The following is a 16488-nucleotide window of genomic DNA, read 5'->3' on the forward strand; positions in this document are numbered from 1 at the left end:
CCAAAATGGCTAATATCTAAACTGAGATCTTGTGAAATTTATGGCGGATTCACCCCTATAAATGATCATTTTTCAAAAATACAATGACAACTGTTAGTTCAACAAGTGGTCTTTGCTGTGAAGCTCAGGCATCAAGGAAAGGTGTAGATAGGTCTTATTGCATAACAGTCCTCGGTCCTAATATAGCAACGTTCATCTGAGAAGCTTAAAGGACTTGCCTCACATGACAAGCTGCCTCATTTTTGCACTGACTCTTCGAGGAAGGCAAGATAAGATTTATTATCCAGTGGCCTATATTCCAAGTAGAGAAGGATCCTCTCTGCCCAGGTAACTAGAAAAGTGTGTCTGATGACACATTTGGGAGGAACGAAGGGATCCAGCAGCAAGAAGGGGATTGAACCATTGGTTTCAGGTTGCAGTTCTCCACCAAGAATTTTTTGAAGTGTAAGGCCTGATCTTGCTTATATAGGACTGATTAAATTTTTTTCTTTCTTTCTTTCTTTTTTCTTTTCTTTTTTTGTTTGTTTTGAGTTGGAGTCTCACTCTGTAGCCCAGGCTGGAGTGCAGTGGTACAATATCCAGCATTGCAACCTCTGCCTCTTGGGTTCAAGCGATTCTCCTGCTGCAGCCTCCCCAGTAGCTAGGACTACAGGTGCACACCACCATGGTCGGCCGGCTAATTTTGGTGTTTTTAGTTAGAGACAGGGGTTACAGGCGTGAGCCACCGCGCTCATACTAATTTTTTTTTTTTTTGAGATGGAGTTTTGCTCTTGTTGCTCAGGCTGGAGTGCAATGGTGTGATCTCAGCTCACTGCAACCTCCAACTCCGAGGTTCAAGCAATTCTCCTTCCTCAGCCTCTCTAGTAGCTGGAATTACAGGCGCCTGCCACCACGTCTGGCTAATTTTTGTATTTTTAGTAGAGATGGGGTTTCACCATGTTGGTCAGGCTGGTCTCGAACTCCTGACCTCAGGTGATCCTCCTGCCTTGGCCTCCCAAAGTGCTGGGATTACAGGCATGAGACACCGCGCCCGGCCCTTACATTTTCATTGCAGTAAATACTTGAGCCTCAAAACCTGAGAATGCTTTCCAGCCCCATCTCTAATCAGGACCTTGTCTTGTCAATTTTCCCTCCATGAGACAGCTCTGGTGAAACAGTAACAGAGGGACGGGGAACACCGAGGTATTGATGTCTGGGCCAGAGCTGCCATCCAGGGCCCCACACCCCACCTTTGGTCCAGACAGCCCCTTGGCCCAGGTGTCCCTGCTGCCAGAACACATTGGACTGGGGTACAGGAGTTGCATATTCCATGAAGCCGGTGTCAGGGGAAGCAGGAACTCTCACATTAGCCAGGTTATTCCTCTCCTCCGGGCCAATTTCCCTCCACAACCCAGGGGTTTCAGTCTCACATCAACTATCATGTTTTAAAACAGAAAACATGCCTGTAGTCCCACCACTTTGGGAGGCCGAGGTGGGTGGATCACCTGAGGTCAGGAGTTCGAGACCAGCTTGGCCATCATGGCAAAACCCCATCTCTACTAAAAAAAAAATTAGCCGGGCATGGTGGCACATGCCTGTAATCCCAGCTACTAGGGGGGCTGAGGCAGGAGGATCACTTGAACCTGGGAGGCAGAGGTTGCGGTGAGCCGAGATCATGCCACTGCACTCCAGCCTGGGCAACACAGCGACTCTGTCTCAAAAACAAAAACAGAAAATAGGCAAAATGTTTGGCTAAAATAAAATGAAAACACTGCAGGGAAGAGGCTTGAGTGTGCTGGTGGACAGGCCGCCCTGCTCACCTGTGGGAAGGGCAGGGCCAGCAAGGGCAGGAGAGCTCCCTGTGGGCAGCTAGGCTGGGTGTGGATGTGGTCCTCCAAGTGGTCCCAGGGAGGATGCAGGGACAGGAACAGTCCAGGCAGACAGCTCTCAGATGAGTAGGGCTCTGCCTGAGGTGTTCTGGCATCAGGAGGCTGCCTGACCCCCAATGGGCATGACACAGGCTCCAGGGAGCAATGGGACATCGGCCCAAAGGATCAAAGCCCAATTTGGTCAGATCCCAAGCTTTACCTACATTATGTCTCTGGCTCTGCGAAGGGTACCCCCAACTCTGGGGACAAGCCATGGCCTCAAGTGGCAGCTGGCTACGCTGCTGAAATCAGGACACATCTGTATCATACTCACAGAAAGCTGCGCCATCCTAGTGTGACAGGCCACACTCCGTCACCCTAGGGGAAGCTGGAAAAGAACTCCAGATGTGCCCTGGAGAGCCCTCCACCTCTCAGGGGCCACCTCCCAGGGTGCCCCCACCACCCCATTCTTCGAGTTTGGCTTGAGATTTTAGGAAGCATAATTTCAGGTGAGGAAGATAACAAAGTCTGGTCCCAACCCACTCTGCTGGCAAGGATCACTCCCCACCTAGTCGGCATCAGAGGAAGCCACGTATACAGACAGGACACACATAGCACACACGGGGCATAAGGAACCGTGCCTGCACACCACTCACACACACATGACATGACCAAGTGGCAGCCAGAGAGGCCAGGGCATGCTCAGGGGGCCGCCTTCGGGGCATCCATGTAGTCTGGGTTGGAAGGAGGCTGGCTGGTGGGGTAGGGCGTGGCTGCTCCTCCAGCCAGGGTCTCGAAGTAGGCCGGCGGGCCCATGGGCTGGGCCGGGTAAGGTGATGGGTACTGCACTGGGTAGGATGCTGCTGGCATTCCTGGCTTGGGGGGGGCATGGGGTGGTAGCCCTGGTAGTCCAGGGTAGCTAGGTGGCACACTTGGAGGCTGAGGGTAAGGGGCATGCACCACAGTGGTGGGCGTGGTGGTGCTCACAACTGGACATGGTCAGCGGCACATCTTGTAGAGGGAGCAGCAGGAGCAGGTGAAGCAGATGATGATAGTGACGACAGACAGCACAAAGATGGTCAGGCCGACGGCCACGGTCGCTCTGAACCCCATGTTAGCCTCTGCCTTCACCCAGGGGCTTCCTGTTCCCCTAGACTTCCCCTTTCCATCATGGGCCACTCAGTTCCAATTTCCTCTCCTTTCGGAGAAAAGGAAAGCAAATCTCCCGATGATGTCAGCCACAGGAAGGACCACTTCATGAACTTTCGAGTCCATGATGGCATTTTTCTCCTTAGAACAGCTACTGTGCTTTTGGTACTATTCATTCATTTGTTCCACATTTACAAAGATGAATAGAATGCAGGCCCCACCGTAGAGGAGCTCACAGTCTAGATGACTGGCACTACATACTGCCTCATGTTGTGTCACAATCTTTTTGTGCATGTGTCTTGTGTCTCCAATTCCATGACAGCAGAGGCCATGTCCTAAACTTCTTTGTCTTCCCCAGAGCCCTTACTTAGCATGGTGTTCAATAAACGTCTCTTTTTTTTTTTTTTTTTTTTGAGATGGAGTCTTACTCTGTCACCCAAGCTGGAGTGCAGTGGCGCAATCTTGGCTCACTGCCACCTCCACCTCCCGGGTTCAAGCGATTCCCCTGCCTTAGCCTCCCGAGTACCTGGGATTACAGGTGCATGCCACCACACCCAGCTAATACTTTTTGTAGTTTTAGTAGAGATGGGGTTTCACCATGTTGGCCAGGCTGGTCTCAAACTCCTGGCCTCAGGTGATCCACCTGCCTCAGCCTCCCAAAGTGCTGGGATTATAGGCGTAAGCCACCACACTTATCCAATAAACATCTCTTGAATAAGTAAAATAATTTGATTTGATTTGGTACTTTCCTCTTCCGTGGTTTACTTCTGCCACCTAGATAAAATAATGTATCACCCATATGTAGAAATGTATTTTATTTATTTATTTATTTTATTATTATTATTTTTTATAGAGATGAGGTCTCACTTTGTTGCCCGCTCGAACTCCCAGGCTCAAGTGATCCTCCCACCTCAGCCTCCCAAAGTGCTGGGATTACAGGTGTGAGCCACCGCACCCAGCCTAGAAACTTGTAAGTGAGGAAATTGAGGCACAGAATGGTGAAGTAACTTGTTCCAGGCTGCAAGTGACTCATGGTTGCTTCATTCAAAATATATGCTGGACAACTTTGGAACCAAAGACAGCTATATATCCTTGATGCCAGTATTTAGATGTCTCTTAGATTCTGAGATGCAAATTGTGCCTTCATATACACACACACAGACTTTATCAAAATCATGTATATGTTTGAAGCCAGACTCTGGTTTATGCAAAATGATTAATATTTCTTCTTATATTCAATATCAAGTTGTGTGAAAGGTAACACATGATAGGTTCAAAAATATTCCAGAGAGGAAAGAGTGGGTGGCAGTTGGTGAGCTGCAACATTTTTCCTTTCACAGAACAATTCTTGTAGAAGAAACAGCATCGCTGACTTTTTCTATTTTCAGCACAAAGTAACACTTAACTGATTAATATTCAAGTGAAGGTGTACAGCCACAAACCTCATTTAATCAACAAGCAATGCAAAACAACAAACTAATGCACAGCGGGGATGCAAACGGGTGGTCTGCCAGCGAAACTGAACTCACAGAAAGGGTTTCAAGAGTTCTCAACTTAATTTTGAATACATAAGAAATGATATTTATAATATTTCTTTTTCTTTCTTTCTTTTTTTTTTTTTTGAGATGGAGTTTTGCTCTTTCACCCATGCTGGAGTGCAGTGGCGCAATCTCGGCTCACTGCAACCTCCACCCCCAACCCGGGGTTCAAGCAATTCTCCTGCCTCAGTCTCCCAAGTAGCTGGGATTACAGGCATGTGCCAGCACACGTGGCTAATTTTTGGATTTTTAGTAGAGACGAGGTTTCACCATGTTGGCCAGGCTGGTCTTGAACTCCTGACCTCAGGTGATCCACCCACCTTGGCCTCCCAAAGTGCTGGGATTACAGGTGTGAGCCACCACACCCAGCTGATATTTATATTTCTATAAGGCAAGAAAAATACAGGAAAACCAAACACTCATCTACCCATCAACCCGGCTGAAAAACAGAACAGTACCAGTAGCCCTGAAGCCTTCTAGACACAAACAGTACACTGAAATAATCAGAATTAGCTGCCAACAGTTACAAATTGGGACATTTCACACAAAAATCTGGATTTCCAGCCTCTCTTGAAAAAGCTGGCATCACTGTGCCTATATTCCCATAGGGAAATAAGGGGCTGGCCCTTCATGGGGCACCCATGCCGATCACCCCATCCCACCCTCATCTGTTCTCTGCTGCCTCCTCCATCCACATGACCTGCCCAGCCCTGGAGACATCTGCATTGGTAACCCCTGCCATGTGTTTCCTTTCTGGGTTGGCTCCTTCTCCCTTGATGCTGTTCAAGCTCTCCATTTCCCTAGTTCTCCTGCCTGTGCTTTGGGCCGTCTCCTTTCTTGGTGGAGCAGGACCTTTAAGAGGCCAGGCAAGGTGGTTCATGCCTATAATCCCAGCACTTTGAGGGGCCGAGATGGGAGGATCGCTTGAGCCCAGGAGTTCAAGACCAGCCTAGGCAACATAGTGAGACCCCGTTTCTACAAAAAAAAATTTAAAAACCTAGCCAGTCACGGTGGTGCACCTCTGTGGTCCTAGCTACTCAGGAGACTGAGGCAGGAGAATCACTTGAGTCCAGGAGTTCCAGGCTGCAATGAGCTATGATCATGCCACTGCAACTCCGGTATGGGTGACAGAGTGAGATCCTGTCTCTTAAAAAAAAAAAAAAAAAGGCACTAGGCTCCATGGAGATGTGCAGACAAGGAGAAATGGTCTGCCCTCAGTAAACGTGTAGCTGTGGAGGAAACTGACCTGTGGGCCAGGCGCAGTGGCTCATGCCTGTAATCTCAGCACTTTGGGAGGCTGAGGCGGGAGGATCACAAGGGGCCAGGAGTTTGAGACCAGCCTGGCCAACATGGTGAAATCCCATCTCTACTAAGAATACAAAAATCAGGCGGGTGTGGTGGTGCACGCCTGTAATCCCAGCTACTCGGGTGGCTGAGGCAGGAGAATTGCTTGAACCCGTCAGGCAAAGGTCGCAGCGAACCAAGATTGCACCACTGCACTCCAGCCTGGGCGACAGAGTGAGACTGTCTCAAAAAAAAAAACAAAAAAAAACCGACCTGTGTCTGATTACATATCATACAAGACAGGCAAAGATAGAAATAGAAAGAGGGTTACGGGAGCACAGAGCAGGAAAGACTGTATTAGTCAAGGTCTTCCAGAGAAACAGAACCAATAGGATGCATGGGTATGTGTGTGTGTGTATGGAGAGAGAGAGAGCGAGAAAGAGAGAGAAAGAGAGAGAGACAGAAAGAGAGAAGAGAGAGAGTATGTATGTATTTAATGAATCGGCTTACATGATAGTGGGGTTAGCAAGTCCAAAATCTTTAGGACAAGCTGCAGGCTGGAGACCCAAGGAAAAGTTGATGTTGCAGTCTTGAGTCTAAAGGGAGTCTGGAGGCAGAATTCCCTCTTCCTAGGGAGACCTCAGTGTTTTAAAGCCATCAGCTGACTGGATGAGGCCTGCCTGCAATATGGAGGCTAACCCACTTTATTCAGTCTACTGATTCAAATATCAGTCTCATCTAAAAAATACCTTTACATGGCTGGGCGCGGTGGCTTATGCCTATAATCCCAGCACTTTGGGAGGTTGAGGCGGGTGGATCACCTGAGGTCAGGAGTTCGAGACCAGCCTGGCCAACATGGTGAAACCCCATCTCTACTAAAAATAAAAAAATTAGCCGGTGTGGTGGTGCACACCTGTAATCCCAGCTACTCGGGAGACTGAGGCAGGAGAATCGCTTGAACCCGGGAGGTGGACGTTGCAGTGAGCCAAGATTGCACCACTGCACTCCAGCCTGGGCGACAGACCGAGATTCCATCTCAAAAAATAAAAAATAATAAAAAATATATTTACAGTGACGTCTAGACTGATGTTTGACCAAATATCTGGGTACCGTGGCCTAGCCAAGTTGACACATTAAAATTAACTGTCATTGGCTGAGTGAGTGTGTATGCAGGGATTAGAAGGTGGAAGCACAGGTGCCGGGAGGGACGTGGTGAACAAAGGTGCAGAGGTGGGGAGATGCTGAGCATGCTCAGAGAATAGTGAGAAGTCCAGTAGAGGAGCAAAAAGTGCAGCCTGGGGGTGGGGTGGTAAAAGGGGGCAAAGTGCACAAGATGGGTGGGGAACCATGGAGGATAGGAGCCATCGTGACTGGATAGGCACTAGGTCTGCAATGACCTTGAATGCCATGGGAGGTGTCAGAGGTTTTCAAGCAGGGAAATGGCACAACAGGACTGTGTTCAAGAAGAAAACTCTGGTAGACACACAAAGGGTGAGGTAGAGGGGGAGAGGTTGGAAAGTTCTATGGGACAAATGATCCATTTTGTTTGTTTGTTTGTTTTTTGAGATAGAGTTTTGCTCTTGTTGCCCAGGCTGGAGTGAAGTGGGGTGATCTTGGCTCACTGCAACCTCCGCCCCCCAGGTTCAAGCGATTCTCCTGGCTCAGCCTCCTGAGTAGCTGGGATAACAGGCGCCCGCCAACATGCCCGGCTAATTTTTTTTAATATTTTTAGTAGAGACGGGGTTTTGCCGTGCTGGCCAGGCTGGTCTTGAACTCCTGACCTCAGGTGATCTGCCCGCCTCAGCCTCCCAAAGTGGTAGGATTGCAGGCGTGAGCCACCGCGCCTGGCAATTTTTTTTTTTTTTTTTGAGACAGGGTCTCACCCTGTGCCTTAGCCTCCTGAGTAGCTGGGACTACAGGTGCATGCCACTACACCTGGCTAATTTTTTATTTTTTGTAGAGATGGGAGCTTGCTATGTTGCCCAAGCTGGTCTCAAACTTCTAGATTCAATGGATCCTCCCACCTTGGCCTCCCAAAGCTGAGATTATAGGCGTGAGCCACCAAGCCTGGCCCAGTTTTTCTTTTTCTTTCTTTCTTCTTTTTTTTTTTTTTTAATTTTTATTTATTTAAGAGATGGGGCCTCGATCTGCTGTCCAGGCTGGACTGTAGTGCACTCATAGCTCTCTGCAGCCTCAAACTCCTGAGCTAAAGAGATCCTCCAGCCTCAGCCTCCCAAGTAGCTAGGACTACAGGCATGAACCACTGTGCTCAGTTTGTATTTCTTGAGAGGACACTGGGTTGGACAGTTATAGCAAGATATCTTTAAAGGGCTGAGTGTGGTGGCCCATGCCTGTAATCCCAGCACGTTAGGAGGCTGAGGCTGGAGGACCACTTTAGCTCATGAGTTTGAGGCTGCAGAGAGCTATAAGTGCACTACAGTCCAGCCTGGACAGCAGATTGAGACCCTGTCTCTTTAAAAAAAAAAAAAAAAAGAAAGTCTTTAAATAATTCAAAGTTAAAACCTTGAAAAAGGTCCAGGCGCGGTGGCTCACGCCTGTAATACCAGCACTTTGGGAGGCCGAGGTGGGCGGATCACAAGATCAGGAGATCAAGACCATCCTGGCTAACACGGTGAAAACCCGTCTCTACTAAAAATACAAAAAATTAGCCGGGCGTGGTGGTGGGCGCCTGTAGTCCCAGCTACTTGGGAGGCTGAGGCAGGAGAATGGTGTGAACCTGGGAGGCAGAACTTGGAGTGAGCCGAGATCGCGCCACTGCACTCCAGCCTGGGTGACAGAGCGAGACTCTGTCTCAAAAAAACAAACAAACAAAAAAAACCTTGAAAAAGTTTTAAAAGCTTTAAAAATGATTAACTCTAATAGACATCAAAGAAGGTCTGTAGGACAATAACAGCAATAATCTGTAAGTAGGAAGGTGTAGGGGAGAGTAAATTGGTTTGAAGTACAGAGCATATAATTCCAACAAAGGACTGCTATGCAGCCCACAGCCCTATCTGTGAGGTAAGGCTAGGCTTTAAGTTCTGCATCACCTGAGAGAGTGATTGCTTAAAATGCCCCTACTACCTAAGAGGCAGCTCGGCCTCCTGAGGGCATATGACCCAACCCCCTTCACTATACTTCCAAGACTTCAGTCTTCGGTCACTTTGCATGAACAAAGGCAGAAATGCACTGAGCTTTGCTGTTTGAAAATATTTTTAGCAATTTTAGTGGTAGAAAAGATGCCCTTTGATACAATTTTGTTTTTGATCTTGTCTTCTTTGAGGAAGGAAAGCAGATTCCAGGCCGGATCTGCTGTTTGAGAGTATAATAATTGCCTAAGGCCAGGCGTGGTAGCTCACGCCTGTAATCCCAGCACTTTGGGAGGCCGAGGCGGGCAGATCACCTGAGATCGGGAGTTCGAGACCAGCCTGACCAACACGGAGAAACCCCGTCTCTACTAGAAATAGAAAATTAGCTGGGCGTGGTGGCGCATGCCTGTAATCCCAGCTACTCGGGAGGCTGGGGCAGGAGAATCGCTTGAACCCAGGAGGCGGAGATTGCGGTGAGCCGAGATCGTGCCATGGCACTCCAGCCCCTGGGTGATAGAGCGAGACTCCGTCTCAAAAACAAAAAACAAAAAACAGAGAGAGTAAGTACGGAACTGCATTTACCTCCACACCTATAATTATCCTTCTTATTATAGGGAAGTTCTATGTCTTTGAACTTTATTCCAAATCCACCCTAAAGAAAAGTATGGATCAGCTGGACCCAGGAGGCCCTTCCCCTGGACCTTGCAGAAAAATGACTGACAATCATGAAATTCACTAAAGGCTTTAAGGTACCTATCTCTTGGAATCCCTTTTACAACTCCTTTTCTTCTAGCTTCGGAATAGTCTAATTATCTTTGTCCCAGGTTTTAGGTTACTTGGGCACATTATTTATGTGCATCGCAATAATGTGATTTCAGTCTATCTCTGTCTCCATTCTGCATAGAGAGGTGTGACAAATTTCCTGTCCTCTGTGGGCTCACACACAGCTGCAGTACCACACGGAATTACAGTGGAAGTTTGAACAGTGGAGACTGTGGGAGCCCAGTGCCCAGAGCAACCTACTCTACTAAGGGAGTTGAGAGGATGGGGAGCTAGACACGTGTTATGTGGATCCAGAGCCACTTGGTACTAAGCTCTTACTCCCTGCAAAACACTTAAAAAAAAAAAAAAAGATCTTAAACACTACCTCTCCTCCCCCCCACCCCCGCCTTCTTTTTGAGACGAGTTTCACTCTGTCGCCCAGGCTGGAGTGCAGTGGCGCAATCTCAGCTCACTGCAAACTCCACCTCCTGGACTCAAGCGATTCTCCCACCTCAGCCTCTGGAGTAGCTGGGATTACAGGCGCGCGCCACCAAGCCGTAACTCCTGGAATCAAGTGATCCCGCGTGCCTAGGCCTCCCAAAGTGCTGGGATTACAGGCATTATCCACCACGCCCTGCCTCGCAGAGCACTTTCAATTCATGCACAAGCCCTTGAATCCCAAACACTCTTGGAGGCAGAGACTACTTTTATTCCAACTTTATAGATAAGGAAGCCAGGGCACTGTCAAGGGAGTTGCCTGGTGCCTGTAAGCAGGGAGCTGAACTGGTAGTTAGAGGAATTGCAATTCCCAGGCTCTGGTTCACTGCGCTACCTCCAGGAATGGGGGTGGAAGTGGAGGGAGGGGGCGGTGTTGCAGGAAGTACATTTGCTTCAATATGAACAGTTAAAATGCCTGGAAACATTAAGAAAGGGAGCGTGCAAAAAAAAATTTCCCTGGTTTCAGCCATTTCTTTCTTTTTTTTTTTTGGGGGGGGGCGGAGTCTTGCTCTGTCGCCCAGGCTAATTTTTGTATTTTTTTTAGAGACGGGGTGTCACGGTGTTAGCCAGGATGGTCTCAGTCTCCTGACCTCGTGATCCGCCCGCCTCGGCCTCCCAAAGTGCTGGGATTGCAGGCGTGAGCCACCGCGGCCGGCCTGGTTTCAGCCATTTCTAACCCTTTTTTAGGTCACTTCAAATAAAATTTGCAAATAACTGCCATGTGGAGAAAATATGCAAATGTTGCTAAACGGAAAAGTCATTCGGAGTGCTGTGAAAGTTGGCTCATTTATTTAGCTGCCTCAAGTGTGCACATCATTCTTTTTCAAAGTGAATGTGTTTAAAGACAAAGCTTTGTATGTTTTCCCGCTTCCTCTCCAATTGGATATTCCAATTATAACGTATTGATTAACAAAATACCCTGGTGGTTTGAACCAAGTATGCCTATGAGCAGGGGTTAATTGAAAATAGGGAACTGCTGTATATTTCAATTCTTTTAGGTACTCCCATGGCGGTACCCTGTACTCGGCTCTACTCAAAAGTAAAACAAAGCCCAGAACCAGGGTAGTCAGTGCATCCCATTGTTGCTATATGCAGTTTGAAGAGCTGTCGGAACTCACAGTTTTCGAACCTGACTCATGTTTACCCTGGTTCATAGGAAAACGAAACTGAAACAAAACCGAGGTCCTTCACCAAAACTCCATGAGAATCCACGAATCTCAGGGCAGGAAGGGACCCTAATATCATTAAACCTAGTGGCTCTCCAAGGGGCATTGTAGAAATCTGTGTATTTCTGGTTGTCACAATGACTGGCGAGAGCTACTGGCATTTAGTGGGCAGGAGCCAGGCACGCTAGGATGTTCTATGATGCTGGTCAGTCCCACAGAGCGAATAATTGAATCACTGGACACATGTCGGTGAAAAACTAGTTCATTATCATCTAAGCCTAGAACTAACACTGTTTTACATATGAACACAAAGTATCTTTGCCCAGTTTCCATATATCCTGAATTTTCCACAAATGCAGGTACTGTTTCAATTGAAGGAAGATTGTACTGTTTTATTTAAAAATTATTAATAGTTCATCATTTTGGAAAATGAGGTTCCTAGTAGCAATGCTGCTCATGGAACTTGAGTTGTGAAATCAACACACCTTTCCAGTTTGCATTTGTGGCTCTACTGGGCAAGTGTCTTCCCACCAGTTAGTGTAGCTGTGCGGCGGCATTTACATATTATAATACATTGTTTTATTATAATCATTTTGCTTTCGTTTGTTGACAGATCATGTTTTTTGAAATTGTGTTTGTAGGTTTACATAAACAATTTAGGTTTTGTTATTTCAGTATAGGTAAAGGGGGCGTTAGAAAATACTCGTTATGAAAAGGAGTTGGGTCTTTCACAGGGTTATGGAATGTAGCAGACTCCTTTTATAGATGAGCAAATTGAGACCCAAAGCCGTTAAACAACTTGCCCCCGACAGTGTGATATTCTCTCCCTATCTCGTTCGAATTTCCGTCTCGATTTTAAAAATTGAGAAGGGAGAGAAGTTATGTGTATAGTAAATTATGTGATGAGCACGAACTATTTGAATTCTGGCAGCAGAAGACCTTTTGTGGGGGTGGTGGAAACCACTGCGTTTTATTTAATTTCGTAGGGCTGAGGGTCAGAAGAGAGGGGAAAGCGGTCATAAGAAACTACGGATGTGCGGGCGCCGGCTCAAAGCCGGGAATCCACTAGTAAACACCTTCTTCTATTTAAGGGCCTGCGGCACCGAAGCCGGGACTTGGGGTGGCCTGCCTAGGAGGGAACCACAGGAAGAGGTTCCACCGACGGTAGAAACCCGGTTCCTCCTGTTCCTCATCCACCGCAGCGGCCTGAGAGTCACCCCGAGCCCAGGCCGGTAACCCCGCTGCAGCCCCTCCGGCAGGCCCAGGTTGCACCGGCTACAAACATTCCCGACACCCTTGGGCCCTAGAAGAGCCGTTCGCCACCCGCGGGGTCCCCGCAACGCCGGTGGTCACCGGCCCTAAGCCGCTGGGCGCCCCGCGGGAGGAAACTAGGGGCAAATGTAGCCCGCATTCCTGCGGAGAGCCGGGGTCCCGGGAGGGCGCGCCAGCGGCGGTTCCGGATCAGCGCGTGTCTGTCTCATTGTTCCCTCACCGCGGGGGGCGGGGGCGGAGGCGCGCGCGCACACGTCGGGGGGTTGGCCAGGAGGGGCCATTGTGTGTTTCTAGGCGGCGCCCCCGCTGCCTAGGCAACCGCGCAGGAAGGTGTCCGGCCACCTGCGCGCGCCGCCGGCTCCCCTCCATTTCCCCCCGACTCCCGCCCCGGTCACCATCCTACCCTCCTCCCTCCTCCTTTCCCCTTACTCCGCTCCCCTCTTTTCCCTCCCTCTCCTCCCCTTCCCTCTGTTCTCTCCTCCTCTTCCCCTCCCCTCCCCCGTCCGGAGCACTCTATATTCAAGCCACCGTTTCCTGCTTCACAAAATGGCCACCGCACGCGACACCTACGGTCACGTGGCCTGCCGCCCTCTCAGTTTCGGGAATCTGCCTAGCTCCCACTAAGGGGAGGCTACCCGCGGAAGAGCGAGGGCAGATTAGACCGGAGAAATCCCACCACATCTCCAAGCCCGGGAACTGAGAGAGGAAGAAGAGTGAAGGCCAGTGTTAGGAAAAAAAAAACAAAAACAAAAAAAACGAAAAACGAAAGCTGAGTGCATAGAGTTGGAAAGGGGAGCGAATGCGTAAGGTTGGAAAGGGGGGCGAAGAGGCCTAGGTTAACATTTTCAGGCGTCTTAGCCGGTGGAAAGCGGGAGACGCAAGTTCTCGCGAGATCTCGAGAACTCCGAGGCTGAGACTAGGGTTTTAGCGGAGAGCACGGGAAGTGTAGCTCGAGAGAACTGGGACAGCATTTCGCACCCTAAGCTCCAAGGCAGGACTGCTAGGGGCGACAGGACTAAGTAGGAAATCCCTTGAGCTTAGACCTGAGGGAGCGCGCAGTAGCCGGGCAGAAGTCGCCGCGACAGGGAATTGCGGTGTGAGAGGGAGGGCACACGTTGTACGTGCTGACGTAGCCGGCTTTCCAGCGGGTATATTAGATCCGTGGCCGCGCGGTGCGCTCCAGAGCCGCAGTTCTCCCGTGAGAGGGCCTTCGCGGTGGAACAAACACTCGCTTAGCAGCGGAAGACTCCGAGTTCTCGGTACTCTTCAGGGATGAGTCATGTGGCAGTGGAAAATGCGCTCGGGCTGGACCAGCAGGTGAGCCGCAAGAACCCCACCGGGCTGGCTGCTGCGTGAATTCCTCCCCTGACCTAACCTGGCTAATGGCGCAGCGCTAACCGGCACCCTTACTTTTCATTTTCTGGGTGCCCCGGGCTGGCGGGTGTGAGTGCCCCGGGGCTATAGAGGGATAGGAATGTTGGTTGGGGCTGTCGCCCGGGCCCGGTCTCGGCCCGCTGTATTGTCCCCGGGACGAGCACAATGGCGGCTTTTGTGTGTGCGTGCGCAGGCGGGCGGAGGGGGAGGAAGTGCGCGCGCTCTCGCGGGGACGCGCATGCGCGAATCCCGACTGATTAGTGACCTGGGGGGGTTTGCGGGAGTGCGCAGCGCGGCGGGACGCGACTGGAGGCCCTTTTGGCTTGGAGGGCTTCGGCCTTCACGGCTGGCGCAGCCTGGATTCCCGTCCGGAGGACCTGGCGGCACCCGGTGTTTGCGTGCCTGCGAGCAAGGGGTAGAACGCGGCCCAGGAATGTGGGAGGGGGCGGCCTTCGCTCGGGGTAATGGCGGCGGCCTCTTTTGTGTGGTGCTGGGCGGCGCTGTGGCTCACCTCCGGGAGACGGCGGGTCTCGGGCGGGCGAAGGCCTGGAAAGGAGGATGGAATGGGTTTCTTGTTTTTTCCCGGGTTCCTTCCGCTGGCTTTTTCGCTTCAGCCCAGGTTCCGCAGGGTCCGGGGGCCCTGCGCCGCAGCCGGGGAGGCTGCGTTTCCGGAGTGGAAAGTTTTGTGACGCAGAAGATTGGGGAGGAGTGGGGGAGGGGTGGGGGCGGGGAGGGGAGGCAGGAATTGGCCGCTGCGCGCTGGGCCCTGGAGATAGAGGTTGGACGTGGCGGGGAGGTTAGGGAGCCAGCGAGGCCCTTTCTCCTCCTTGCTTGCCCCAGATTGTCCCTGTGTGGTATGTTAGCCGGGAGTCCCGCGTTGTTTTTCTGGGGTGGAGGGGTCATCGCGGGTTGTGGTAGTGTCTTCGTGTTAGTGACTGTGATCCAGGAATCCGCCATTGGAAAAACACCCGGCTTAGGGGGGAAGTAAACAGTTTTGTTGTTGACTTGTTGCTATCTGTGGAGTAGAATCTTGCAATGGGTCCCAGGCCCCCGGGTTTTTTCTCTTAGCCAGAATCCCCTCTTCTAAGGGTTTAGGGGCAGAGGAGAGAAAGATGTGTGATTTGAGAGGAGAAGGTTATGGACTTTGGTGGCAGGAAGTCTGCATCCCACCGCAACAGTGGCACCAGGCTTCAGATAAGCTCTTGTGTGGGTTATGCGGAGCTTTTAAATAAACTACTGTCTACTGTGATTAGGGGAGCGTTGATTTCACAAACTCCGGAATAATCCTGAGACGAAGTTTAGTGGCACAAATTAATTGAATACATAGTTTAATGTAGTCATATGTAATATTTTTTAGGAATTGATCTGTTCCTTTGGAAGCATTTTCTACCCGTTAATGAACCAATTATATTAAATCCTCTAATTGCTGACACATGTTGAATTGAACAGACACTTTAACAACCTACCAGCAGCACAGAGTATTCCCAGTTTTACCATTTTCCATTTAGCTATAGTGTCCTTTTAAGGATTCTAGGCAACAGTGAACCTTATTTAAAAAGCAAAATTGTGCTATAACAAGTGCAAAAGGAAAGTTTGTGTTCCTACCGTGCTTTAAAGTATTGATGGTAGCAAGAGAAAGCGCAGTGGTGTTTTTGCTCATAGAAATTCTGGAAATTAGGTGCCTGAAGTCTTACACTCATTTTTTAAAAGTATAGCATCTGCTTCCAGTTTTCAGTGACTCCATTGATGATGCATGCGGTTTGGCCGTATCATACTGAGCTTTAAACACAAGATTTATAAACATGGTATGTAGTGCATCTTTTGCAAACAGGTTGGCAGCGGTACTGTGTGACTTGGTCTTTTGTGGCTTTTTTGAGAAAAATGAAACACTTTGCATGTATAGTTTTTTCTCCCAACTACTTGTGAGTAGTTCCTGGTTATAAAACGTTATGAAGGTAGCACATAACCCTTTTCTAGAATGAAGAGGCTTTTGAGCTACCAGTGTAAGGGGATAGGTAGAAATAGAGATGAAAGGCACTAAGATGTCCTACTCTTTAAGAGCATTGAACGCCAGTTGTGCCATTTATTCAAAGTCATCTTTGAACTTATGTTAAAATGGGGTAAAAACAGGTAACTACTTCAGGCCGGGCTCATGCTTGTAATCCCAGTGCTTTGGGAGGCCAAGGCAGGTGGTTCACCTGACCTGAGGTCAGGAGACCAGCCTGGGCAACATGGCGAAACCCCATCTCTACTAAAAGTACAAAAAGTAGCCTAGCGTGGTGGCGCACCCCTGTAATCCCAGCTACTCGGGGAGGTGGAGGTTGCAGTGAGCCGAGATCACATGACTGAATTCCAGCCTGGATGACAGAGGGAGACTCTGTCTCAAAAAAAATAAAAATAAAAACAAACGAAACAGTCAAACTACTTAAGAGTTGTGCTTAACATAGTGTTCTGTAAGTGGTAGGTATATTGCTATTTTTTTGTTGTTCTTAAGAGTACTACCCGACTA

General features: G+C 49.5%; 1 protein-coding gene and 1 pseudogene across 7 annotated transcripts in view, besides 4 other annotated features; one reads left to right on the forward strand and one right to left on the reverse strand.

Annotated features, from left to right (window-relative positions):
• SHISA5P1 (SHISA5 pseudogene 1) lies at nt 1038-3199 on the reverse strand (annotated as a pseudogene).
• Nucleotides 7021-7315: a silencer, noted in NCBI's record as "tiled region #10897; K562 Repressive non-DNase unmatched - State 22:ReprW". NCBI's record gives its function as "represses a minimal TATA promoter and a strong SV40 promoter by Sharpr-MPRA in K562 cells {active_cell/tissue: K562}" and the evidence as "EXISTENCE:reporter gene assay evidence [ECO:0000049][PMID:27701403]".
• Nucleotides 7021-7315: an enhancer, noted in NCBI's record as "tiled region #10897; HepG2 Activating DNase matched - State 8:EnhW". NCBI's record gives its function as "activates a minimal TATA promoter and a strong SV40 promoter by Sharpr-MPRA in HepG2 cells {active_cell/tissue: HepG2}" and the evidence as "EXISTENCE:reporter gene assay evidence [ECO:0000049][PMID:27701403]".
• Nucleotides 12608-13097: a silencer, noted in NCBI's record as "silent region_20774". NCBI's record gives its function as "represses an Ori minimal core promoter by ATAC-STARR-seq in GM12878 lymphoblastoid cells {active_cell/tissue: GM12878}" and the evidence as "EXISTENCE:reporter gene assay evidence [ECO:0000049][PMID:35858748]".
• Nucleotides 12933-16488, forward strand: part of DDX3X (DEAD-box helicase 3 X-linked) — a 31165-nt gene continuing 27609 nt past the window's right edge. For 4 of the 7 annotated variants that reach the window (NR_126094.2, NM_001193416.3, NM_001193417.3 and 1 more), the window contains exon 1: nt 13787-13922. Coding sequence is in view for 4 of the 7 variants with exons in the window: in NM_001193416.3 (NP_001180345.1) it covers nt 13878-13922 (45 nt within the window). In the remaining 3 variants the exon portion in view is untranslated. Of the gene's footprint in view, nt 13923-16488 lie in introns of all 7 variants that reach the window. The other 3 variants (NR_126093.1, XM_011543892.3, NM_001363819.1) reach the window with 2 other exon arrangements.
• Nucleotides 13188-13417: an enhancer, noted in NCBI's record as "active region_29554". NCBI's record gives its function as "activates an Ori minimal core promoter by ATAC-STARR-seq in GM12878 lymphoblastoid cells {active_cell/tissue: GM12878}" and the evidence as "EXISTENCE:reporter gene assay evidence [ECO:0000049][PMID:35858748]".

Source organism: Homo sapiens, chromosome X (genome assembly GCF_000001405.40).
Source record: "Homo sapiens chromosome X, GRCh38.p14 Primary Assembly".
NCBI classification, from domain to species: domain Eukaryota; kingdom Metazoa; phylum Chordata; class Mammalia; order Primates; family Hominidae; genus Homo; species Homo sapiens.